At 47.6% G+C, this 25,759-nt stretch overlaps 2 long non-coding RNA genes across 2 annotated transcripts, besides 1 other annotated feature; one reads left to right on the forward strand and one right to left on the reverse strand.

Annotated features, from left to right (window-relative positions):
• Positions 1-10,028: 10,028 nt before the first annotated feature.
• Positions 10,029-13,687, reverse strand: LOC105379850 (uncharacterized). The gene is made up of 3 exons (XR_001747278.2): positions 13,648-13,687; positions 11,822-11,941; positions 10,029-10,126 (listed from the first exon to the last, which is right to left on the reverse strand). It is a non-coding gene; the product is annotated as an uncharacterized LOC105379850 (long non-coding RNA).
• An 865-nt stretch (positions 13,688-14,552) lies between these two features.
• Positions 14,553-15,767, forward strand: LOC105376415 (uncharacterized). Its single transcript, XR_930664.2, has 3 exons — positions 14,553-14,781; positions 15,392-15,542; positions 15,678-15,767. It is a non-coding gene; the product is annotated as an uncharacterized LOC105376415 (long non-coding RNA).
• Positions 23,948-25,147: an enhancer, noted in NCBI's record as "P300/CBP strongly-dependent group 1 enhancer chr10:11835512-11836711 (GRCh37/hg19 assembly coordinates)". NCBI's record gives its function as "activates an origin of replication core promoter dependent on BRD2, BRD4, P300/CBP, MED14 and CDK7 cofactors, with strong dependence on P300/CBP, by STARR-seq in HCT116 cells {active_cell/tissue: HCT116}" and the evidence as "EXISTENCE:reporter gene assay evidence [ECO:0000049][PMID:35650434]".

Raw genomic sequence — 25,759 nt, forward strand, 5'->3', positions numbered from 1 at the left:
GTGTCTGAGGTGAGGAGTTGGAGACCAGCCTAGCCAACATAGTGAAATCCCATCTCTACTAAAAATACAAAAAAGTAGCCGGGCATGGTGGTAGCTGGACTACAGTCCCAGCTACTTGGGAGGCTGAGGCAGAAGAATCGCTTAAACCCAGGAGACAGAGGTTGCAGTGAGCCGAGACTGTGCCACTGTACTCCAGCCTAGGCAACAGAGCGAGACTCCATATCAAATATATATATATATATATCTTAAATATATATATACACATATATCTTAAATATATGTATGTACATATATCTTAAATATATATATATACATATATATATATTTGATAATCTGAATGAAACAGATGCTTTCCTGGGAGAATAAATTCTAATTTTGGTTGGTACAAGAATTAGAAAATATAAATAGACCAATATCACAGAAGAAAAGTGTGTCACAGTGATGCAAAACACATGAGGCCTCGCTTGTCTTAACAGTAAATTCTAGAAAACCTTTATGGAAACAAACAGGCAAGAGCACATGATGAACTAGAATCTCATGTGAAGACAGATGCAAGGTTTGCCTTATGAATGAAAGGATTGTTTATAAAATCGGGTCATGTAATTTACTGCAATATGTTGGTATTCTCTCTGGGTAAGAGAGTGGGGATATGAGTGGAGAAAAGGGTTTTCACTATTATCATTTGGGTGATAGGATTACTCTGGGTGAAGGAATTACTGGTGCTTTTTTTTTTTTCCAAAATAATAGCTTCATTGAGATATAATTCAAATACCATACAATGTACCCTCTTAAAGTATACAATTCAGTGGTTTTTAGTTTATTTGTGGAGCTATGTGATTTACCACAATCAATTTTAGAACATTACGGCCGGGCGCAGTGACTCATGCCTATAATCCTAGCACTTCGGGAGGCCGAGGCAGGCAGAACAACTGAGGTCAGGAGTTCAAGACCAGCCTGGCCAACATAGTGAAACCCCATCTCTACTAAAAATACAAAAATTAGCCAGGCATGGTGGCGTGTGCCTGTAATCCCAGCTACTTGGGAGGCTGAGGCGAGAGAATTACTTGCACCCAGGAGGCAGAGGTTGCAGTGAGCTGAAATTGCACCACTGCACTCCAGCCTGGGCGACGGAGGGAGACTCTGTCTCAAAAAAAAAAAAAAAAAATAGAACATTTTCATCACCCCCAAATGAAACTCTGTACCCATGAGCAGTTGCTCCCCATTTCCTCCCAAGCCGCCCAGCCCCAGGCAACTACTCATCTACTCCTCGTCTCTATAAATTTACCTCTTCTGGACATTTCACATAAACAGGATCATGCCGTACACGTCCTTGAGTGTCTGGCTTCTTTCACTTGGCATAATGTTCAGGATTCATCCATGTTGGAGCATGTATCCACACTTCATTCCTTTTTATTGCCAAATCCTATTTGATTATATGGCTATTCCAGATTTCATTAGTAATTGGTTGATGGACATTTGGGTTGTTTCCATGTTTTGGGTCCTATGAGTAAAATGCTGCTGCGAACTCTCGTTCATGGGTTTCCGTGTGGATGTTAGTTCTGCTTTCTCTTGGGTAAACGCCTAGGAGAGGATTCACTATCATGGGTGACTCTACGTTTAACATTTTGAAGAAATGCCAGACTATCTTCCAAAGTGACTGCACTGGTGCTTTTAATTTTCTTTATATGCTCAAATGTTTACATTTTTCTCAAATTAAATAGTTACCATTTCTACACCCAGGCTGGTTTTTTTTGTTTTTGTTTTGTTTTTGTTTTTGTTTTTTTGAGACAGAGTCTGGCTCTGTCGCCCAGGCTGGAGTGCAGTGGCGCGATCTCGGCTCACTGCAAGCTCCGCCTCCCAGGTTCACGCCATTCTCCTGCCTCAGCCTCCGGAATAGCTGGGACTACAGGCGCCCGCCACCACGCCCGGCTAATTTTTTGTATTTTTAGTAGAGATGGGATTTCACCGTGTTAGCCAGGATGGTCTCGATCTCCTGACCTCATGATCTGCCTGCCTCAGCCTCCCAAAGTGCTGGGATTACAGGTGTGAGCTACTGCACCTGGCCACCCAGACTGTTTTTTACAGTATTTTTTGGTGGTATAAAAGCTCCAGAATGCTCAGGGAAGGTAAAGACCAAGAGGAATTGTGGACAAATTAAATAGTTAACAACCAAAAGCCAACAATTTGCAGATTGAAGCTGAAAAATGGGTAGCATCGGATAATATACCCACATCTCTCAGGCCAGTGTTTCCCAGCCTGGGGTCCCAATTCTGAGGCACACAACAACCTTAGGTGGCACAGAGGAGAATCTTTTTATAAAATATTTTCTAATTATTCTAACACAATCAGAAAAATCAACTAACATGTCAAACTCATGATTATACAGCTCTAATTTCTTGCAAATGAGGCTTTTGTAAGTGGGTCAATTTAAGGAAAAAATATTATAAATAAAAATGTAAGCATTACACAGATATGACCAAAATATCATGAAGGTGGCATGCAAAGACCTGAAGTTTGAGAAACACTGTCCCTGGGATAGTATTTTAATAAAGGATTCTTGAATCCCCAGTAGCTGGGACTACAGGCATGCACCATCACACCCTGCTGATTTTTTTAATTTTTAGTAGAGATGGGGTTTTGCCATGTTGCCCTCAAACTCCTGACCTCAAGTGATCCACCTGCCTTGGCCTCCCAAAGTGCTGAGGTTCCAGGTGTGAGCCACTGTGCCCAGCCAGCTCACCAAGTCTTTAAGGCCCAAGGGATGGACAGTTGCCTGGGTCTTTGTGCCCCCCACCACAGCCCTCACCCCACAGGGACCCTCACTCCCCTCCTCCTGCTGACACCAGTGGGGACCTGTCCTTCACGGGCTATTATGTTCCCATGAAAGCAAATTTAACTTCCTTTATGTTGGTTACATGGATTTTTTTTTTCCGGTCTGTTTCCAAAAGAAACAGTCCTGAGATGATTTTTCAAATGTAAAATCACATATTTATTGAGTGTCTACTACATTGCAAAGCAATGTGCTGGGCACTATGGGATGGTTTTTTTGTTTTGCTTTGTTTTTTAAGTATAAGGCAATTCCAACCCTCCAGAACATAGTTGAGTAGGCGAGATAAATCATGCCCACTTTCAAATTCAAAACAGTTGTCCTGAGATGAGAGACAGGATTGCCCTCGAAGCCTGTGCTGAGGACCAGCTGTGTGATGCGGGGTGAGTCGTCTCAGCCTCTTCACAGTTGCACTCTGGATGATGATAATGCCTCCCTCCTAAGCGGGTGTGAGGGCTAAATGAGACAAGATGGAGTGATGTGTGTAGCAGATGTTGGTGACCTGCTGAGAGCCCCTTGGCCGCGTCCAAGTTCACCTGCAGCTTCCACAGGTGGCAGCTCTTCCTCCTCTGAGCTTCCGTCTTTCTGCCTCTGGAAGGTGTTTTATGTTCCTGGCAGGGCTTGCTCAGACCAGGCCCACCCAGAGGAGGGAGGAGGTGAGGCCTCCAGGTGCATCCTCGGGCAGCAGAAGACAGAGTCCATGGGTGGCGCCCCGCCTCCAGTGCGCTGAGGGAGCAACGCTGAGGTGTTGCTTGTGTTTTCTCAGAAGATCCCCAGCAGGACCGAGCCTCATCGCCCACAGCCATGACCTGCTGGTGTATGCAGGCTTGATTGGCTTTCCTCCTTCCCTTCCTTCCCCCGTCCCACTTTCCAAATTAACCACCTTCCCACCAGTCCTCCATCCAATGTCTGCTGTTCAGGGAACCCAAACTAATTGGAGACGCTGGTTCGCATTTGGCACTCAGTAGACATCCCCTCCCTCAGCAAAGAAGTGAAACAACTTTAGCTGCAGAAGATGCTCCCATGAAGTGATGGGATTGGTTGCTAAATGAAGAGCACAGGCTGTAAGTATGGCAGAAATCAAGAGGGAAAAAATCCATTTTGGCTCATTAGCAAGCAAATGGCACCATCCATAGAAAGCTTTGACTTTTCAAGCTGTTGGGGATCTCAGCTCTCAGTTAACTTACAAATTGAGACACTGCACAGTGGAAAACGACTAGAAAGACCTAGACTCAGCCAGTCCTGGTACCAAGCACAGGCTGCCCTGACCAAAGGCTGGAGTGGCCTCTGTTGACATCCCCCGACAACTACCTGTGTGAGCTGCCCCGTATGTGTTCTAGGATTTCTGGAATTGCATTTAGCAGCATTCAGGGAACAGGCAGAGCAGGTGCATTTTCCAAAAACTCCCCTCCAGAGGCGCCTGGAGAAGGGATTTATGAGCCGCTGCATCTCCGGTTCCTTCTTTGGCATTTATTAGCTTTTTGATGAATGTTAGAGCAATTCTTCTGTCAACAGCTTCTCATTAGGGGCCTGGTGATGTTCTTTCTGACCATTATTTTACTCAATATCATGCCTGGTCACCATGAGGAGAAGAGGTTCCACTTAGAAACCATCCATCTTCACAACAGCAAAGGCCCAGATAATCCCACTCCAATACTCCTGCTCCGACAGCTGCCCCGGGGCACACACTGAGCGTTCAGACAGATGCGGGGCCCTAATGAAGGGCTTGTCGGCAGGCAGCGTGCCCCGCCATTCCTTTAAATACCTATTTCAAGTTTGATTCTGTTTCTTTTTAAAACAAGTTATAGGGAACTTGTTGGTGAAGTAATCACTAGGACTTTTTAGAGATGACAGATGCTTAAGACAAATGACAAGCCTGCCTTGGAAGAGTCTGGAGCTAGCAGGTGCTGGAAGGAGGTGTCCAGTGCCTTAACGGGCTGTTTACTTCCGCTCTCAGATGCACCGTCTTAAAACAGCTATGGTACAGAAAGCGTATAGAGGGGGTTCCTGAAGTCTCTGCCATTCTTTAGCATCAATGTCAACTCTTCAATATCATCAATTCTTTCTTTTTGTTTTGGAGACAGGGTATTGCTTTGTCACCCAGGCTGGACTGCAGTGGCATAATCACTGTAGCCTTGACCTCCCAAGCTCAAGTGATCCTCCCACCTCAGCCTCCTGAGTAGCAGAGACGGCAGGTGCACACTACCATGCCCCACTCATATTCTTATTTTTTGTAGAGACGGAGTTTCACCATGTTGCCCAGGCTGGTCTCAAACTTCTGGGCTCAGGCGATCCACCTGCCTCAGCCTCCCAAAGTGTTGGCATTACAGGTATCATCAATTCTTTTTTTTTTTTTTTTTTTTTTTGAGACAGAGTTTTGCTCTTGTTGCCCAGGCTGGAGTGCAATGACATGATCTCAGCTCACCACAACCTCCGCCTCCGGGGTTCAAGTGATTCTTCTGCCTCAGCCCCCCGAGTAGCTAGGATTACAGGCATGCACCACCACGCCCAGCTAATTTTGTATTTTTAGTAGAGACGAGGTTTCTCCATGTTGGTCAGGCTGGTCTCAAACTCCCGACCTCAGGTGATCTGCCTGCCTCAGCCTTCCAAAATGTTGGGATTACAGGTGTCAGCCCCCGTGCCCGGCCAATTCGTTAGCATCATATCAATTAATATGCCCTCCTCCACCTTGCCATCAGCAGACAAAGGAATATAACCTAGAATGACACTTTTTTTTTTGAGACAGAGTCTCACTCTGTCACCCAGACTGCAGTGCAGTGGTACAATCTCAGCTCACTGCAATCTCTGCCTCCTGGGTTCAAGCGATTCTCCTGCCTCAGCTTCCCAAGTAGCTGGGACTACAGGCATGTGCCAGCATGCCCAGCTAATTTTTATATTTTTAGTAGAGATGGGGTTTCGCCATGTTGGCCAGGCTGGTTTCGAACTCCTGGCCTCAAGTGATCCACCCACCTTGGCCTCCTAAAGTGTTGGGATTACAGGCGTGAGCCACTGCACTCAGCCTAGAATGGCACATTTTCAAAGACGTTTTTTATTGTAAACAATTTTAAATGTATGGGAAATTCAAAAGCGTAATAAATCACTACTTACACATTACCCAGCTTGAACAATTATCAATTTATGGCCAATCTTGGTTCATCTGCCCCACCCATCTGCACCTCCTCACTCTAGACTATTTTGAGGTGAATCCCAGACCACATTTTAATGTTATTTTTATAAGAGATTACTAACTCTTGACCACTCTTCAAGTATAGCTTAACGATAAGTCTCTACCAGAAACAGTTCCTGAAAGGGCTGCCTGTTGAGGCCTTGAGACGTTCAAATTATGTCATTGTTTGGAGAGTAATTTTGGCTAAGGACCTGGAGGACTCCTTCGGCCAGGGACCTAGATAAGTTATGTTTTATAGGTCAGCAAGTGAAAGATGTGGGACCCTAAAAATGTAGGTCAAACAGTTTTCAGCAAACACAGTTTATTTTCCACTCAAGCACCTTTTAAGTAATAATCCTATTATCTGCCCTGGTTTCTCAGCCCTATGAGGATGAGGTCTATGAACAGACCCAGTCTAATCATGGCTTCTCTCCCAAGTGATGTTGTCTCCTTTTATACCTAAGAAGATTCACATCAATAACATCCAATTAGAACTTTGCCTGTGCCACTCAGAGCCCTGAGAGGTAGGCTTCCTTTTTATCTACCAGATCTGATAACCAGAGTTCTTGCTGGGGGAATACCAATGCTAGGGGCCATTTTGAAACTTTGTGGGAGCATTATTTATGGTGAAAAAGAATTGGAAACACTGCAGGCATTTAGCAGTCAAGGGCCAGGAATGTCAGATGTCTCATAAACCATGAGACAGTTCTGCAAACGCAAGTATCTCACATTCCACAGGACTGCGTACTCAGGTAGGTGAAAACCTGCTTATAATGATGTAAGCCTAGACAGTCACTCCATTTTGCAAATAAACACAATGCGTATTTGCACAGTTGTGCTGTACACAGACTGTTTCAGGAATTTAACTCTGTAAGTTGAAACAAAATGGTTCTTCTTGTTGTTCAGAACTTTACCAAGAATTGTTCACCATTTGGAAAACTGTGTCCCCAAAAGCATTTCCTCACTGAGTCAAACGCATTTTTTTTCCTCTTCTTTTTTTTTTTGGTGAGCGGGGTGGGGGCGGTGCAGGCAGAGTCTCACTCTGTCACCCAAGCTGGAGTGCAGTGGTGTGATCACGGCTCACTGCAGCCTCTGCCTTCCAGGCTCAAGCGATCCTCCCACCTTAGCCTCCCAAGTAGCTACAAGCGTGCACCACCACACCTGGCTAATTTTTGTATTTTTGGTAGAGATGGGGTTTCACCATGTTGCCCAGGCTGGTCTTGAACCCCTGAGCTCAAGCAATCCACCTGCCTCCATCCCCCGAAAGCGCTGGGATTACAGGTGTGAGCCACCTCACCAGGCCCCTTCTTGATTCTTGTAATACTTATTGCCTAGGCTTTTTGTTTAGCAACCAATGCTATTGCTTCATTGAAACATGCATTTCCTACTAAAGTGTGTTTCACCTAAAACATCCGACCCATCTGTGTTTGTAGTTATGGATTCACGGGGATACTCCACGTAGGTACAGCATCTGACTACATCATTTCTCCTCTAGTCACGTGCAATCAGTTATATATTGAAACACGCATCACTGTACATTATATTATACATTATACAGTATTATATGATCCTTTCCTTTATTTCTCAAGGACTCAGAGGGTCCCAGTCAACGAAGAATTGCCAGACATTTGAGGAAAGTCTCTAACATGGAAGGTAGGTATCAAAACAAAGTGATCTGGAAGAAACAGAAACTACACAAGGAGAAAAGAACCTTTTCTTTTTAGAGACAGGGCCTCATGCAGTGGCACAATCATAGCTCACTGCACCCTTGAACTTCTAGGCTCAAACAATCCTCCCACCTCAGCCTCACAAGTAGCTGAGACTACAGGTGTGCACCACCACGCCCAGCTAATTTTTTATTTTTTGTAGAGACAGGGTCTCATTATGTTGCCCAGGTTGGTCTTGAACTCCTGAGCTCAAGCGATCTTCCTGCATTGCCTCTCAAAGCACTGGAATTACAGGCATGAGCCACTGCACCCAGTCTAAAACAACTATCATTGGCACCTGTAGTCCCAGCTACTTGGGAGGCTGAGGCAGGAGAATTGCTTGAACCCAGGAGGTGGAGGTTGCAGTGAGCTGAGATCGCGCCACTGCACTCCAGCCTGGTGACAGAGCGAGACTCCGTCTCAAAAAAAAAACAAAAAAACAACTATCATTGGAATAGTCTCAAAGATATAAGAAATGGCATTCATGAAACATGAACAGGTTGACATACACATATGTGTGACCACGAGTATACATATGTATGTATATATAATCGTATATGTTATGTATAATACATTTCATATATTATCTGTTATACACGATATATGTATAAAAACATACAAACAAAAAAAAGAACGTTTAGGGCATAAACTCCATAAAGGAATTTGTATTAAAATTGAGGAAAATCTCCTAGAAAATAAAGCAGAAACAGACACCATGGAAGAGAAGTATTCTAAAGAACCAGATCAAGAGAACCAACAACTAAATAACAGGAATTCCCAGATGAAGTAACAGAGAAAAGGGAAGGGAAGAAAGCATTAGTGAAATAATTCAAGGAAATGTCTCAGAACAGAAAGACAGGTGTTTCCAGATGAAAGGGGCTCATGGGCCAGACGTGGTGGCTCACGCCTGTAATCCCAGCACTTTGGGGGGCCGAGGTGGGTGGATCCCCTGAGGTCAGGAGTTCGAGACCAGCCTAGCCAGCATGGTGAAGCCCCGTCTCTAATAAAAATACAAAAATTAGCCGGGTGTGGTGGCGCACGCCTGTAATCCCAGCTACTCAGGAGGCTGAAGCAGGAGAATTGCTTGAACTTGGGAGGCGGAGGTTGCAGTGAGCTGAGACAGTGCCATTGCACTCCAGCCTGGGCAACAAGAGTGAAAATCTGCCAAAAAAAAAAACAACAAAAAAAAACTGACTCACAGCAAGGCCACATCATTGTGAAATTTCAGGACACTGTCCAGCAGGCAGTTGGGTGGCTTAAGAAGTTGCCATCACTGTACCCTCTGTCACCATCCCCTCTTTTGAACCAGATGAAACTGCCTGAAAACAGCTCCGCCAGAACAAATGCACAAGCCACCAGGAAGAGAACCCGCATCCATCACAGACAACCTCTCTTCCCAGGCCACCTTCTACTCTCCCCACCACTCTGTCCAGGCACAACCTCACAGTGCCAAGTGCAGGCATCTGTGAAACCCCACACGTAAATGCTCATCACAGAAGTGCAAGGGATGTACAGCCCCTCGAGGCCAGCCTTGGCCATCAGGGAACAGGAGCAGGTGGATACAAGCTCCTCACATGGTCTCTCAGGCATGGAATTCAGGGGACCCTTCTACTAAGCTCCTTGGAAAGACCCATCAGGATGGAGCCCCAGCTGCCCACAGCCGTGACCAACTCAATAGCCCACCCTTGGGTTACATTTCCCTTCTCCTGTCTCCTGGGATCACCTTCTAGAATCAACTACGAGCATGCAGGCCTGGGTCTCAGGCTCTGCTTTCTAGGGGAAACCCAGACTAAGATACCATATTAGTCTGTTATCACGCTGCTAATAAAGACGTACCTGAGACTGAGTAATGTATAAAGAAAAGAGGTTTAATGAACTCACAGTTCCACATGGCCGGGGAGGCCTCACAATCATGGCAGAAGGCAAAGGAGAAGCAAAGGCATGTCTTACATGGCGGCAGGCAAGAGAGCTTGTGCAAGGGAACTCCCATTTATAAAACCATCAGATCTCATGAGACTTATTTACTACCACGAGAACAGTATGCTGGAAACAGCCCCCATGATTCAATTATCTCCACCTGTCACCACCCTTGACACATGAGGATTATTTACAATTCAAGGTGAGACTTGGATGGGGACACAGCCAAACCATATCAGATACCAACCCAGGAGAGGGGCAAGGGTGGCCCTGGGGCAGGAGGCTTGGAGAGTGACCAGCCCTGGTAGGAGGAGGAGGGAGGCCAGGAGATGTCTACAGGAAATAGACACTCGCAGATTTGACATCGGAAATAACTTGAGCTTGTGGAGGTTTCTCCTGAGAGGCAGGGGGAAGGGGACTGGAATAGCATAGGACCTATTTAGGCTGAACCAAAGGTCATCCTGCCGACAAGGCGACCCAGGGATATGCTCCTGGTGTGAAGGCACAGCTCTGTAGGAGAGAGATTTGGTAACATAAATCAATAGACTTAAAAGTGGCTATCCTCCATACTCTTAGGAAAGAATCTGAAATTGAGAGAGAACTTCACAAAAAAACTGTGAATCAGGTAATATTTATAATATCATTAAAAAAAAAAAAAAAAAGCAGGTCTGGCGCAGTGGCTCACGCTTGTAATCCCAGCACTTTGGGAGGCCGAGGTGGGCAGATCATAAGGTCAGGAGTTTGAGACCAGCCTGGCCAATATGGTGAAACCCTGTCTCTACTAAAAAATACAAAAATTAGCCGGGCGTGGTGGCACGCACCTGTAGTCCCAGCTTCTCGGGAGGCTGAGGCAGAAGAATAGCTTGAACCCAGGAGGCGGAGGTTGCAGTGAGCTGAGATCGCACCACTGCACTCCATGCTGGGCGACAGAGTGAGACTCTGTCTCAAAAAAAAAAAAAAAAAGACAGTAATTCAGCCTGGGCAACATAGTGAGACCCCCATCTCTATAAAATAAACATTAAAAATTAGCCAGTTGTGGTGGCATGCACCTCTCGTCCCTGCTACTCGGGAGGCTGAGATGGGACAATCACTTGAGTCCAGGAGTTCAAGGGTATAGCAAGCTGTGATTGCACCACTGTCCCCCAGCCTGGGCAACACAGTGAGACACTGTCTCTTAAAATTTTTCTTTTACCAATTTTAAAAGCAGTACTGTTTTCACCTGTAATCCCAGCACTTTAGGAGGCCAAGACGGGCGGATCACCTGAGGTCGGGAGCTCGAGGCCAGCCTGGCCAACATGGTGAAACCCTGTCTCTACTGAAAATACAAAAATTAGCTGGGCATGGTGGCAGGTACCTGTAATCCCAGCTATTCGGGAGGCAGAGGCGCAAGAATCACCTGAACCTGGGAGGTGAAGGTTGCAGTGAGCCAAGATTGTGCCAGTGCATTCCAGCCTGAGCAATAGAGCGAGACTCTGTCTCAAAAGAAAAAGAAAAAAACAGTACTGCTTTGAGTCCAACACAAGCGTAGTAGCGATTCCAGGACATCTACTGGAAGGGGTATCACCACGCAGCCACTATAAGTGATGTGTGAGGCTGGGCGTGGTGGCTCACACCTATCATCCCCAGCACTATGGGAGGCCAAAGCGGGTGGATGGCTTGAGCCCAGCAGTCTAAGACCAGCCTGGGCAACATAGCAAGACCTCACCTCTCTAACAAATACCCAAAAAAATGGGATTATGGGGGCAGAGAAATCCCGCAATCTGCCGTCCGCAAACTAGAGACCCAGAAAAGCCAGTGGTGTCATTTATAGGCCTGAGAGCCTACGGTGTAGACTCCAGTCCAGGTCTGAGGGTCTGGGAACCAGAAGCACTGAGGCAGGAGAAGATCCATGTCCCAGCTTCAGCAGCCAGGCAGAGAGCAAGTTCCTCCTTCCTCTGCCTTTTTGTTCCTTTCAGGCCCTCAGTGGATAGCATGACACCCAGCCGCACCAGGGAGGGCCATCTGCTTTAGGAGCCCACCGATTCAAATGCCAAGCGCTTCCAGAAACACCCTCCCAGACACACCTAGAAATCGTGTCTAACCAGCAACAAGCTGGGCATCCTGTGGCCCAGGCAAGTTGTCACATAAAATGAACTGTCACAGTGTCTATGCTGGTAGAGGCACAGCCCAGCCCTGGAAAGAGACACAGAAGATAGTGGTGCTCACCTCTGGGGAGCAAAACCCCTGAGTTCTGGAGCTGAAATGGCCATTGGAATGCCTCCATATTGGGCCGGAATGATCAGGCCTCCATCTCCAGCCTCCGTCAGTCATGACACAGCTGGCACCCTGGAATGGAGACAATCCCTGAGGGGTGGCAGCGGAGGCAGCAGCTGGGCTCACAAGTCCTCCCCTGGAAAAGGCATCGGTGCACCCCTCAGAGTAACAAAAGAATGCCCATGATAACATGGAGAGATGTTTAGAGAGAAAAAAACGGAACACGTATTTTTTTGGCGGTAGTGGAGGGGCAGAGTCTCCCCCTGTCGCCCAGGCTCGAGTGCAATGGTGTGATCTCCGCTCACTGCAACCTCTGCCTCCTGGGTTCAAGTGATTCTCCTGCCTCAGCCTCTGAAGTAGCTGGGACTACAGGCGCCTGCCACCACACCTGGCGAATTTTTATATTTTTAGTAGAGATGGGGGTTTCACCATGCTGCCCAGGCTGGTCTCAAACTCCTGACCTCAGATGATCCACCCACCTCAGCCTCCCAAAGTGCTGGGATTACAGGCGTGAGCCATGGCGCCTGGCCAGCAGAACACATTTTTATCTATAGTACAATAATGATTATGTGAAACAAATTTTTAAAAATCATAGAAAAAATATTCCATAATTTTATTTATTTATTTATTTATTTTTATTTTAGAGACAGGGTCTCGCTCTGCCACCCGGTCTAGAGTACAGTGATGCAATCATACCTCACTGCAGCCTCAAACTCCTGGGCTCAAGCATTCCTCCTGACTCAGCCTCCAGAGTAGCTGAGACTACAGGAGTGAGCCACCACTCCCAGCTAATTTTTTAAAAAATTTTTGTAGAGACAGGGGTCTCACTTTGTATCCTGGGGTGGCCTCAAACAATCCTCCCACCTCAGCCTCCCAAGGGTGCTGGATTACAGGCATGAGCCACTGTCCACTGTGCCTGGTCTATAATTTTTTTTTTTAAGACAGAGTTTTGCTCTGTCACCCAGGCTGGAGTGCAGTGGTGCAATCTCAGCTCACTGAAACCTCTGCCTCCCAGGTTCAAGCGATTCTCCTGCCTCAGCCTCCCGAGTAGCTGGGATTACAGGCTCCCGCCACCACGCCCGGCTAATTTTTGTATTTTTACTAGAGACCGGGTTTCACCATGTTGGCCAGGCTGGGCTCGAACTCCTGACCACAGGTGATCTGCCTGCCTCGGCCTCCCAAAGTGCTAGGATTACAGGCGTGAGCCACCACACCCACCGTGGCCCATAATTCCTAAGTAATCAAAAATCTAAAAAGCACCCCCTAGGATCTGCTTCTGTTGTTTCTCTCATTAAGCTTTGCTCTTGTTTCATGACTTCTGTGCTTACAGAGAAGGAACAGGAATAACTAATCATTATCAAATAACCTCTGAATGTATAGGGTACCACAACAGAAGGAAATTGGTCACATAAGCCACTACACTCCCCGCCCTTGTAATCAATCACATGTTCAAAGGAAAAAGTCAGTGGTCCCAGACATTCTGTTAAGTTAGAACGACCTGAAACAATTATTTCTCAACACTTAATGCAGCAGTTATAAAATTCTCCAGCAGAGGGCAATGGGTATTTATCTCTAGATAAAAAAGTTAGCTGTGTAACCTGCTGCTGGTTCCTTTGACTGGAAAATGATACTGGCTTTTCAGCCCTGAAACTAAAAGTAGCTCGTTTAGCAACTTACATAGCAAAGTTAGCTAGATGTCAGTTCAGCTGAGGCAGTGGAGAGAAAGAAGTTCCTATGTAACTGTTTGCATTTTATTTTTTGAAATAGACCCGGCTGACCTCATAGCCTGCTATGAAATCGCTGATGGTTCTGTCCTGGACTCCAGGGTAGGGTTTCTCAACCTTGGCCCCGTGGACCTTTTAGGCCAGATGGTTTTTTGTTGTGGGGGCTGTCCCAGGCCTGGTAGGATGCTGAGCAGCGCCCCTGACCTCTCCCCTCACCAGCCGAGACAGCCACAACTGTCACCGGACATTGACGAAAGTCCCGTAGAGAGAAAGGCTCCCCCGCAGGTGAGACCACTGTCCTAGACGATTATCCCGGCAGGTGAGTTTACTGTTACACATTGCATAGGCCGTGCAGGTGATGCCGGAGTCCCGCTTTATTCCCGCCTTGGGCTGTTTTTGGGAGTTCTCAAGCCCTGAGTTAAGAGCTGCTTACAAAACTCAGAGGCAATCAATCACATATGTTCTAGACCCAAGGCCACCTCAGGGCAGAATCAGCACCTGGAAGCTTCCCTGACGAGACTCGACTCTCAGGAAGCTCAAGGTAGCAATGAGTGTATGACTCAGGGTGTCCTGGAACAGGAGAGCCCTCTTAGTAAGATTCTCCCTCGGACATTTCTGTTCTCAACGTCCCCAATTCCGCCCAGCCTCTGGCAGGGCGGGGCGGAGGAATTCTAGCACCTTCCTTCAGATCCAGCCCACCCTGCCCCGCCCACAAGGCACCTTCATGTTCCTCCGGCACATCCCATCTTCAGAAGCTTAGTAAAGTCTCCCCCCATTCAAAGAAGTTTCTGGCTAACAAGGAGGCTTTCTCTCGAGTTCGTTTTGCTGCATTTCTGTCGTTTTTATAGCTAAGGATACTAAGTGGTTGTCCGCACATCTCACAGGCAACGCATGATGCCGGATCCTGCTATGATTTCAGGCAGGACTCAGGCCCCAGAAGCAGGGAGCGGACCTCTGCCTGGGCCGACCTCCCCTCAGGCCCTGAGGCGCAGTGCCCAGGGCTCCTGAAACTTTCATGGGCTCGTGAAGACGTTTTCATGTTTCTTTCTTTTCCAATCAGAAGAATGCCGTCGTCAAAAGATCATTTTTAATTTTTTTAACGGAGGAAGGAGCCCTTGAAGGCAAGGGTTCCCAGAGCCCACTGAAGTCACCCTTCAGCCCTCATCTTTGTGCTGCACCGCCTTTTGGGTGAGGCTTCATACAGGCCCGGTCTTGGTTGGTTAAATATAGAGTTAACCTCAACACCAGGGGAAAACCGGCAGAGTACAGGTCTTCTCTGTTACAGGGTCCATTGCATCATTTCCATATATTCGTTTATTCACTCATCAAACATTCAAATGGCCAGGTATAAATGAAAAAAAAAAAAGAAAAAATTTAAATATATTGCTAAACTTTAGGTTTAAATAATGCATTAATTCCAAATTATGAAAAACGGAGAATTGTTTTTAATTCTATGTTAAATCCTTAAGCCACCACAGCTACTTTTCCAACACCGGATTTGGAGGGGAGGGAAGAAATCAAGCTCCTTTCTTTCCTCATTTTACTGCAGCCTCTCTGTGACAACTAAGGTGAGGTGACATCTTAGTCAGCTTGGGCTGTCAAAACAAAATACCATAGACTGGGTGACTAGAACAACAGACATTTATTTTCTCACAGTTCTAGAGGCTGGAAGTCCAAGATCAAGGTGTCAACATGGTTGGCTTCTGGTGAGGACTCTCACGTAGGCTTGCAGACGGCCACCTTCTCCTTGTGTCCTCACATGGTAGAGAGTTCATTGATGCTCTTCCTCTTCTTATAGGGATACCAGTTTTATGGGATCAACGTTCCACTCTTTTGACCTCATTTAACCGTAACCATCTCCTGAAAGGCCCCCTTTCCAACACAGCCACATGAGGGGTCACGGCTTCAACTTATGAATTTGGGGCAGGACACAATTCAGTCTATAGAAGGTGAGTTGGCCAAACAATGGCGTATTTTTAGCCTTTAATTGCAAGGCTGGTCTAAAAAAACAATCAAGGAGGAAGGGTGGAGTCCTTTGAGTCTTCTTTCCTAAACTTCACCTCCTCACTGATCTTTTGCTCCAGTGACTGCAGAATATAATGACGTGATAGCCTGATGGCCATTGCTCCTCTAATCGCTGGAACTGGTGAGTAACAGTGGTTATTTGTTTGAGGTTGGGTGGATATTTGGAGTTTGGTTCAGTTTCTTGGTTTGAGTTTGATGCGTTTGGTTTTTTTCTTCTTCTTTCTTACCCTGAGAATAGGAAGAGGAATTATTCCTGCCTGGAAAAGATGGCAGGGTTTTTTTGTTTTGTTTTTTGAGACAGAGTCTTGCTCTGTTGCCCAGGCTGAAGTGCAGTGGTGTGATCTTGGCTCACTGCATCCTCTCCCTCCAGGGTTCAAGTGATTCTCCTGCCTCAGCATCCTGAGTAGCTGGGATTACAGGTGCACACCACCAAGGCTCGATAACTTTTTGTATTTTCAGTAGAGACGGTGTTTCACCATGTTGGCCAGGCTGGTCTTGAACTCCTGACCTCAGGTGATCTTCCCACCTTGGCCTCCCAAAGTGCTGAGATTACAGGCGTGAGCCACCACGCCCAGCCTCGATGGCAAATTAATTGCCTAGGAAAGAAATGTCATCTGCGCTGACTCTTCCATTCAGTAGCTTAACATCCCTCAGTCACGTGTGTTACTGCTAAGCTGTATCTCTCCACAGTTGACTCTGACTTTGAATAGTCCATTGAGTGAAGATATGAATAATAAGGTTTCTTAAAAATGTATTTGGTAGGGCACAAAATTATAGTGCTAATTACGTTATGTTTGGTGGGATCTTGAATTTCTATTCCCTGAGCACATCTTCCCTCTTGCCTGAAAACCCTCTGCCTTCTGATGTTCGCGTTCATGATTTCTTGACATTCAGAGCTCAGATATTTAATCTGGGACAGCCCTTGCCTAGTGGCCCAGTGTAAAATCATTTGGTCACCCCATCACATTTTTCTTTTTTTCTTCTTTTTCTTTTCTTTTTTTTTTTTTTTAGATGGAGTCTCACTCTGTTGCCTAGGCTGGAGTGCAATGGCTCAATCTCCGATCTCGGCTCACTGCAATCTCTGTCTCCCGGGTTCAAGGGAAAGTGATTCTCCTGCCTCAGCTTCTTGAGTAGCTGGGACTACAGGCATGTGCCTCCACGCCCAGCTAATTTTTGTATTTTTAGTAGAGATGGGGTTTCGCCATGCTGGCCGGGCTGGTCTTGAACTCCTGACCTCAGGTGATCCACCCACCTTGGCCTCCCAAAGTGCTGGGATTACAGGTGCGAGCCACTGCGCCCGGCCCACTCCTATCACATTTTTCACTTAGTAGTTCCGGGACAGCCAGAATCACAGAACCATGGGACCAGAGTAGGATGGTGGTAGTTTGAATTTCTCAGGTGGAATAGAAGGTGTAGGAGATGGTGGGATCCTGGGTGTGACTGGAAAGTGGTGTGGACATGAAGGTCATTGGGGATAAGGAGTTCAGGGTTATGAACTGGACTGTCTTTACAGATGGGCTCCTAGGACTATGGCAGGAGCAGAAGTGGAAAGAATGAATGGGGTCCCCATGAAAGAGGACAGCTGATAGGCCAGGTGCGGTGGCTCACATCTGTAATCCCAGCAATTTTGGAGGCCGAGGTGGGTGGATCACGAAGTCAGGAGTTCGAGACCAGCCTGACCAACATGGTGAAACCCCATCTCTACTAAAAACACAAAAATTAGCTGGGTGTGGTGGCGCATGCCTGTAATTCCAGTTACTCAGGAGGCTGAGGCAGGAGAATCGCTTGAACCTGGGAGGAGGAGGTTGCAGTGAGCCCAGATCGCGCCACTGCACTCCAGCCTGGGCGACAGAGCAAGACTCTGTCTCAAAAAGAAGAAAAAAAGAAAGAACAGCTGAGCAGGTGGAAGAATCTTGCGGGGAAGCAGGAAGCATCATGCAGTTAGAAGGCAGAGGAGGAAGACAGAGACCTCCTGCATCTCATCATATGCCGAAGCTACATGTTACAAAGAAAGATGTTCAATTATTTTTTAATAGAAGGAATGACAAAGCAAGACTCCAGGATGGCGCCACTGCTCTCCAGCCTGGGTGAGAGTGAGACTCCATCTCAAAACAATAAAAAATAACAAAAAATAAAAGGAATGCTTTGGAAGTGATCATGAAGAAGACGGGAGAACCCCAGTTCCCTTTTCCTGGACTCCAAGGTGGGGAAGAAAACACCTTCTCCTTGCTGAAGGGCTGCACAGGGAGCCCATCCTCAGGGAAGAAGGGAGTTTCTATCCTACCAGGAAGGTGGATCAAGCCCAGAATTAGCATGGGAACTGCCAGAAGGTAAACTGAGGCCCATGAAAATATTAAACAGATTATTTGAGCAAACAGTGATTCATGAATCGGGCAGCCCCAGATGGCAAGTGGTTTGAGGTCTGAGGAAGGAGCGCGCAGGGCAGGCTCCCAGAGGTGAACGCAGAAGCAGAGTACATTGATCAATCACAGCAGAGCAGAGCCTTATACAAGCGTCCCAGCGCTCGGTCCCTAGTTACGGGGCAGCAGGCAGCTTCTGATGGGCCTAAAGTATAGCCCCGAAAGCTGAGTTGGGTTTGGGTTTGCTGACATAGGAACCCAGGGCCCTGCTGCAGCCTCAGTCTCAGCCCCCCGATTAGTTATTCCAACAGAATGTAAGAAAGACTGCAGAGAAAGAGGCTGGGTGCATGGACAGCACTGGGAGGCAGCAAGGCTGGGGCAGTGTGACGTTTGCCCTGCCCAGGTGCACCTGGCTCTGAGAGACAGAGACAGAGGGATACAGAGACACAGAGACAGGTCCCACCTGCCACTCCAGCCGAGCTCGCACCCTGGCACAGAGCTGCACCTGCTCAGAGGAGGGAATGCCGTGAGCCCAGGGCCTTTGCCCAGAGAGTCAGCTCTGCAACACCAGCCGCTCCCCTCCATGTAGCCCAGCAACATGGAGCCCCCCCACCCAGACCCGGGGGCCGACAGCGAGAGGAATCGGAGAAGGCGCAGAGCAAACAGAGCTTCCAGGCTGGAGAGGGTGAGCAATGGGGACACGGGGTGTAAGCGTGGAGAGACCAAGGCTTAGTACCAGGACGTAAGCCACTTGCGGCAAACTCAGAATGTGTCCCATGCAGCCTGGTGCACCCGTGGCCAAGTCCTGGCAGCCCTGCATAGGGTGGGCTGCGGGAAGGAGCCATGGGAAGGAGAGGCTCTGGAATAGTCGAAGGACAAGCGAAGAAATCCGACTGTTCTCTCAACCTCACCTATGTTGGCATCGGGGAAATATGTGAACCTGTGACTCCTCAAGCAATTTTTATTTTTATTCATTCATTTGTTTTGGAGATAGTCTGGCTCTGTTGCCCAGGCTGGAGTACAGTGGCATGATCACAGCTCCCTGCAGCCTCAACCTCCAAGACCCAAATGATCCCCCCACCTCAGTCTCCTGAGTAGCTAGGACTACAAACACATGCCACCACACCTGGCTAATTTTTTTTTTTTTTTGACTTTTTGTAGAGACAGGATTTTACTATATTGCCCACGGTGGTCTCAAACTTTTGAATGTAAGCAACCCTCCCACCTCCGCCTCCCAAAGTGTTGGGATTACAGGCATTAGCCATCATGCCCAGCCCTCCTCAAGGAATTGGATATGGGCAGAGAAAACAGAGGGCTTGTTAATTTCAGAAATAAATGATTTAATTGGATTACAATATGTTGAGAGCTAACGCCACATAACACTACACATTAACAATAATTACTTTTGTTGTGATGAGAGAATGATTATGTATTCACCTCATAAAACTTTGTGGAGGGAAGGCGTTGCAGAAAATAAAAAGAAGCATTAAGTCCCTGGAATACTCCTGTCTTCACTTTGGCAGCTCAAATACAAGCCTCAGTGCCTGTCAAAATTTCTCTCTGGAACCATTCATATTAGAACCACCTGGAATGTCTCAGGCCCGCTTTGCTGCAGTAGAATCTCTGGGTTTGGAGAAATACAGGAATTTGCATTTTTAACAAGGCCCTCCTTGATGCTTAGTATATCAACACTAAGGAGAAAAAAAAAAAAAAATATATATATATATATACACACACACACACGCATATACATATGCTTTCATTTTGCTCTCTGCAATCCTTCATGACATGAACAAGGAAAAAAAAACCTTCCTGTACAGCACAAATTCACATTTAATAATCCTCCTCCAGTTCTGAGTTTGTTTTGTCTAGTCCTAAAGTTGCTTTTAATAAGGGAGTAGCGATCCTAGCCCATTGAGCTTGTTTTTTTAAATGATGCTTTGATTTCTCAGGCAGGCTGGGTTGATGTTACCCTTGGCATCCTCCCAGATAATTTTAGTGTCAATAAAAAAATCTGGGCATCTGCCACCCTCCTTATTTTACCCTTGGATGATGTGAGCAGGATGTCTTAGGATGTCCCCAGCTTCAGACATCTGAACTCAGAGCTGTGTAGAGATCCGTGAGTTTGCACCCTGGCTAGACTTCAAGAGCAACAGGAGAAAATCAAAATGAAAAGTCCATGCAAAGAGGACCTTCACCAAGGACACTTTGAGGTCTCAAGGAGGCTATGAAAGTCAATTTCAATAACATCTGGATCTTGCTAGATGTTAAAACCAGCTTGCGGTACTCCTGGCTGTTCACTAGAGTCAGGAACACTAACTTCTTGCTTAAGCTCCCAGAGGCGAAGAGACATTAAGATCCTGGCAGCAACAGAAATGTCTTGAAGATGAGGTCCATTCCTAGGAGTTGTACAGAACACCCCAAATAAAATGCACCAATAAAGCCTCATTCCTAAGAACAGCAGATTAAATTCTACTCAGTTCCAGTGAACTCTTTTCGGGTCAGAAGGTGCCAACCAATCAAATACGCCATGCCTGCCATCCCTCTCAAAAGCGGGCACTTCCCTCTCAAAAAGAAAGTTGGTACCACTAGCCTGGGAACCCAGCCCCGCCTCCGCCAGTGCCACCCCTGCCTGCTCTGCTGGGCAGCGGATCCCCAGCTTCACCAATGAGCGTCCCCTTTGCTGTTTCACGTTGGACTTCCACAAGTGATTTCAACTGATGAAAGCATCCTGCTGCTTTAAATTTTTTTAAATATTTGAAAGCCAACCAAGTCCAGTGGCTCACTCCTGTAATCCCAGCACTCTGGGAGGCCGAGGTGGGAGGATCACTTGAGCCCAGGACTTCAAGACCAGCCTGGGCAACATAATGAGACCTTGTCTCTACAAAAAATCAAAAAGTGAGGCAAGAGGATGGCTTGAGCCCGGGAATTAGAGGCTGCGGTGAGCTATGATTGTGCTACTGCGCTCCAGCCTGGGCAATGGGGATGAGACCCTGTTTCAAAAGAAGGAAAAATGTGAAAGCCACTGTGTGTGGCACTTTCCAGAATAAAGAGGAGTATCTTAGGCCAAGAAGAATGACCTGCCCAGGGTCACATAGCTCATCCATGTCAGAGGTAGGACCCATTAGCTTCCCAGGGTTCTTGCAACAAATTACCACACATGCAGTGGCTTCCGACAACTCAGATGCGGTACCTTACAGCTTTGGAGGTCAGAAGCCCAAAATGGGGCCAGGCTCAGTGGCTCATGCCTGCAGTCCCAGCACTTTGGGAGGCCAAGCTGGGCAGATCACTTGAGGTCAGGAGTTCGAGACCAGCATGACCAACATAGACTCCAGCTTTATAAAAAATTAGGCAGGTATGGTGGTGCACGCCTATGGTCCCAGCTACTTGGGAGGCTGAGATGGGAAGATCACTTGAGCCCAGGAGGTCAAGGATGCAGTGAGCTGTGATTGTACCACTGCACTCTAGCCTGGGCAACAGAATGAGACCTCATCTCAAAAAAAAAGAAATCCAAAATGGGTCTCCAAATGGGCTAAAATCAAGGTGTTGGCGGGGCTGCATTCCTTCTGGAAGCTCGAGGGGAGAACCTATTTCCTCACCTCTTCCAGCTTCCTGCCGCTTCCCAGGTGGTTTTGACCTGTGGTCCCAGCCAGCACTCTGATCACTCACAGCCTCTTGTTCTCTGGCTCTTCGCCTCCCTCTTGCAAAGGTGCTAGTGATTCCATTGAACTCACCTGGCGAATCCAGGCAGTACCCCAGCTAACGAGCCTTCACTTAATCACATGTGCAGAGATCCTTTGCCCACGTGAGTCAACCTACGCACAGGTTTTGAGAATTAGGACACCGGCATCTTCAGGGGACCATTACTCTGCTTACCACGTAGAACCAGAATCCAGGTCTGTTAACCCCCAACCCAGGTATCCCTATGGCTCTCAGGTCCTCACTACCGCATTTGTTGTCTTGGGCTCCTCGAAGTTCAAGGTCACCTCTGTGGCTCAGAGACAGCAGCAGAGAATTGCCCCTTGAAGTGGTGGTTTGGTATTGTGTGTACCACATATACCCCTAGAGACTCCATAGCACCCACCCCCCGCCATATTACCTAACTCCTCAGAAGGAAGGGGGTTTGCCCCTTGGGGTCAGGGTGCATCTTGGTGATCCACTGAGAAGGGTTAGAGGGAGGACCCTTCATCCAGGAATAAAGCAAGTGCTGCTCACCTGCTGGTGACTTCTTGGGAACCTGGGGAAGGGGGAACGAACCACCCCAGTGTCCACGAGTCCCTGAGTGCAGGCTGTAAATGAAAAAGTGTCTGAGACAGGTCTCAATCCGTTCGCATGTTTGTTTTACTGAGGTTATAGACGCGTGCTCAGGAAGCAGGTCTGTGCCTTTCCCCAAAGATGATTTTGAGGGTTTCAATATTTAAAGGGGGCCGGGCGAGGTGGCTCCCATGTGTAATCCCAGCACTTTGGGAGATCGAGGCAGCCAGATCACTTGAGGTCAGGAGTTCGAGACCAACCTGGCCAACATGGTGAAACCCTGCCTCTACTAAAAATTCAAAAATTAGCTGTGCGTGGTGGCGGGCACCTGTAATCCCAGCTACTTGGGAGGCTAGGGCGGGAGAATAGCTTGAACCCAGGAGGCAGTGAGCCGAGATCATGCTACTGCACTCCAGCCTGGGTGACAGACCAAGACTGTCTCAAAATATATATATTTAAAGGAAAACGGGTGTATATTGGGGAAAGAGTAAGAACTTTTAAAAAGTGTTGGGTAGACAAGAGGTAAATGGTTGCATTTTTTTGGGTCTTTGGTCGGCCGTTCACATGTGAGGAGGGATAGAGGAACAGTGTTAGGCATTCATCTAGCTCAGTGAATCTGCATTTTTACATGAGATGTGATCAAAGAAACAGGGCAGAGGAAGCAATCAGATATGCATTTGTCTCAGGTGAGCAGGGGGATGACTTTGAGTTCAGTCCTTTGTCCCACACCTGTGTACATAAGCTATCCATTTACATTAGCAGGGTGAAACGCAACAACTCTTTCAGGGTAAAGACCTAGGGGCCACAGGGAATTTCTAGTGGGCAAATTGTGAGAGAGGTATGTGTGGGCGGCAAGCCACCCAGGCGCCAAGGCAAGAGACCGAGGACACGAGCTGTTCCAGTATAATAAAATATAAAACAAGAATAGTTATACCAGATGTAGATCTTAGATATGATTATATATGAATATCATTAATCATTAGTTTGTAGTAATTACTCTTTATCCCAATATTTTAATAATCCTCGCTCTACAGTCATAACCTAGGAAAAACCAGGCCATACAGAGATAGGAGCTGAGGGGACACAGTGAGAAGTGACCAGAAGACAAGAGTGCGAGCCTTCTGTTATGCCCGGACAGGGCCACCAGAGGGCTCCTTGGTCTAGCGGTAACACCAGCATCTGGGAAGACGCCCGTTGCCAAGCGGACGGTGGTCTAGCGGTAGCGAAAAGTGTCAAGGAACAACACCCACTACTTAGCAGACCGGGAAAGGGAGTCTCCCTTTCCCCGGGGGAGTTTAGAGAAGACTCTGCTCCTCCACCTTTTGTGGAGGGCCTGACATTAGTCAGGCTCGCCTGCAGTTATCCGGAGGCCTAACCGTCTCCCTGTGATGCTGTGCTTCGGTGGTCATGCTCCTAGTCCGCCTTCATGTTCCATCCTGTACACCTGGCTCTGCCTTCTAGATAGCAGTAGTCAATTAGTGAAAGTACTAAAAGTCTCTAATAAGCAGAAATAATGGCGTAAGCTGTCTTTCTCTCTGTCTCCTCTCCCTCTCTGCCTCGGCTGCCAGGCAGGGAAGGGCCCCCTGTCCAGTGGACACGTGACCCACATGACCTTACCTATCATTGGAGATGACTCACACTCTTTACCCTGCCCCTTCTGCCTTGTATCCAATAAATAACAGTGCAGCCAGACATTCGGGGCCACTACTGGGCTCCGTGCATTGGTAGTAGTGGTCCCCCGGGCCCAGCTGTCTTTTCTTTTATCTCTTTGTCTTGTGTCTTTATTTCTACACTCTCTCGTCGCTGCACACAGGGAGAGACCCACCAACGCTGTGGGGCTGGTCCCTACAGGTGTGTAGCTTTTTTTTCTTTTCTTTTCTTTTCTTTTCTTTTCTTTTCTTTTCTTTTCTTTTCTTTTCTTTTCTTTTGCAGCTACCTTCTTTAGGAATAAAATGAGAGGCAGGTCTGCCTGACTGCAGTTCCCAGCTTGACTTTGCCCTTTGGCTTAGTGATTGTGGGTCCAAGATTTATTTTCCTTTCACAACCCCAAGGCTTGGTACAAATCCCCACCACTTGTGTTGATCAGAAACCAGCAAACATGGGAACCAGGATGAGAAGAGGAAGGCAGGCTGGGCCGATGGTGTCCGTGGGTCTGTCTGATACCAGGATCAGGGAGGCTGCAGGGACAGGCCGGGGCTCCCAGGAGCAGTGAAGGGCTGGCACCCGGCACCACCCAGCTGAGTCACCTCCGTCCACACTCCAGAGCCCACTAGGCCAACAAGGATGAGCTCAAGAGGAAACGCAAGGGGCTTCTGACTAAAGATACACGCACCAGGAATTCCTGCATGCTTTGATGGGTGTGCCTGAGAGTCATTCTCCCTCCCGCTGCCGGAATGATAACATTCCAGAGGTGTCACTGACCACTGTCCTACAACCAGCAGGGGCCAAGAAAGCTGTGAGCCTCTGAGAGGAGCCAGGTGGGGGAAGCGGTGCCAGAGCGCATGAACTGTGACCCCTGAGCCAAGCCTCCCCTGTCCCTTCCCAGCACTGGGCAAACTAACAAGAATAATGGCAGCAGCACTTTGGCAGGCTGAGGCAGGTGGAGTTCGAGACTCCTGGCCTGGCCAATATGGTGAAACCCTGTCTTTACTAAAAATACAAAAAAATTAGCTGGGCATAGTGGTGGGCGCCTGTAGTCCCAGCTACTCGGGAGGCTGAGGCAGGAGAATCTGCTTGAACCCCAGAGGCGGAGGTTGTAGTGAGCGGAGATCGCGCCACTGCACTCCAGCCTGGGTGACAAGAGCAAGACTCCAACTCAAAAATAAAAAAAAAAGAATAATGGCAGAGCCTGAAGTCAGAGCTTCCTGAGATCACCAAGGACGTCTCTGGCAAAGCCAGTTGAGAAAAGGCTTCATGATAACTAGAGGTTAATGAAGACTCGTTAGTCATCTAGGAGGGGGGTAATAATTAACCAAGAGAGGTCCTCTTCAGTCTTAGCCCTGCAGGGGCACTAGCAGGTTCTGAGGGCCGGTTTCAGGGGCTTGTGACCCATGCAGTCACAGGGCCTCAAGCTTGGTTTAATGGTCTGCTGTTGCCATCTTGAAGTAATCAATTATTTTGTTTGTTTTTAAAGACAGGGTCTTGCTTGATACCCAGGCTGGAGTGCAGTGGCGTAATCACAGCTCACTCCAGCCTCGACCTCCCAGGCTCAAACTATTCTCCTGTCCCAGCCTGTAGCTGGGAATACAGGCATGTACCACCACGCCTGGCTAGTTATTTGGTTTTTGTGGAGATGGGGTCTCAACATGTTGCCCAGGCTGGGCTCGAACTCCTGGCCTCAGGTGATCCTTCTGCCTTGGCCTCCCAAAGTGCTGGGTCTACAGGCATGTGCCACACTGCACCCGGCCAGTAATTAATTTTGAACAAGAGGCTCAGCATTTTCATTTTGCACTGGGCCGCACAAATTATGTAGCCAGTTCTACAGGTCTGTCATCATTGTGTTTGTGTAGGACTGAGGGTTAGCAAGG

This window comes from Homo sapiens, chromosome 10, assembly GCF_000001405.40.
Source record: "Homo sapiens chromosome 10, GRCh38.p14 Primary Assembly".
Lineage (NCBI taxonomy): Eukaryota > Metazoa > Chordata > Mammalia > Primates > Hominidae > Homo > Homo sapiens.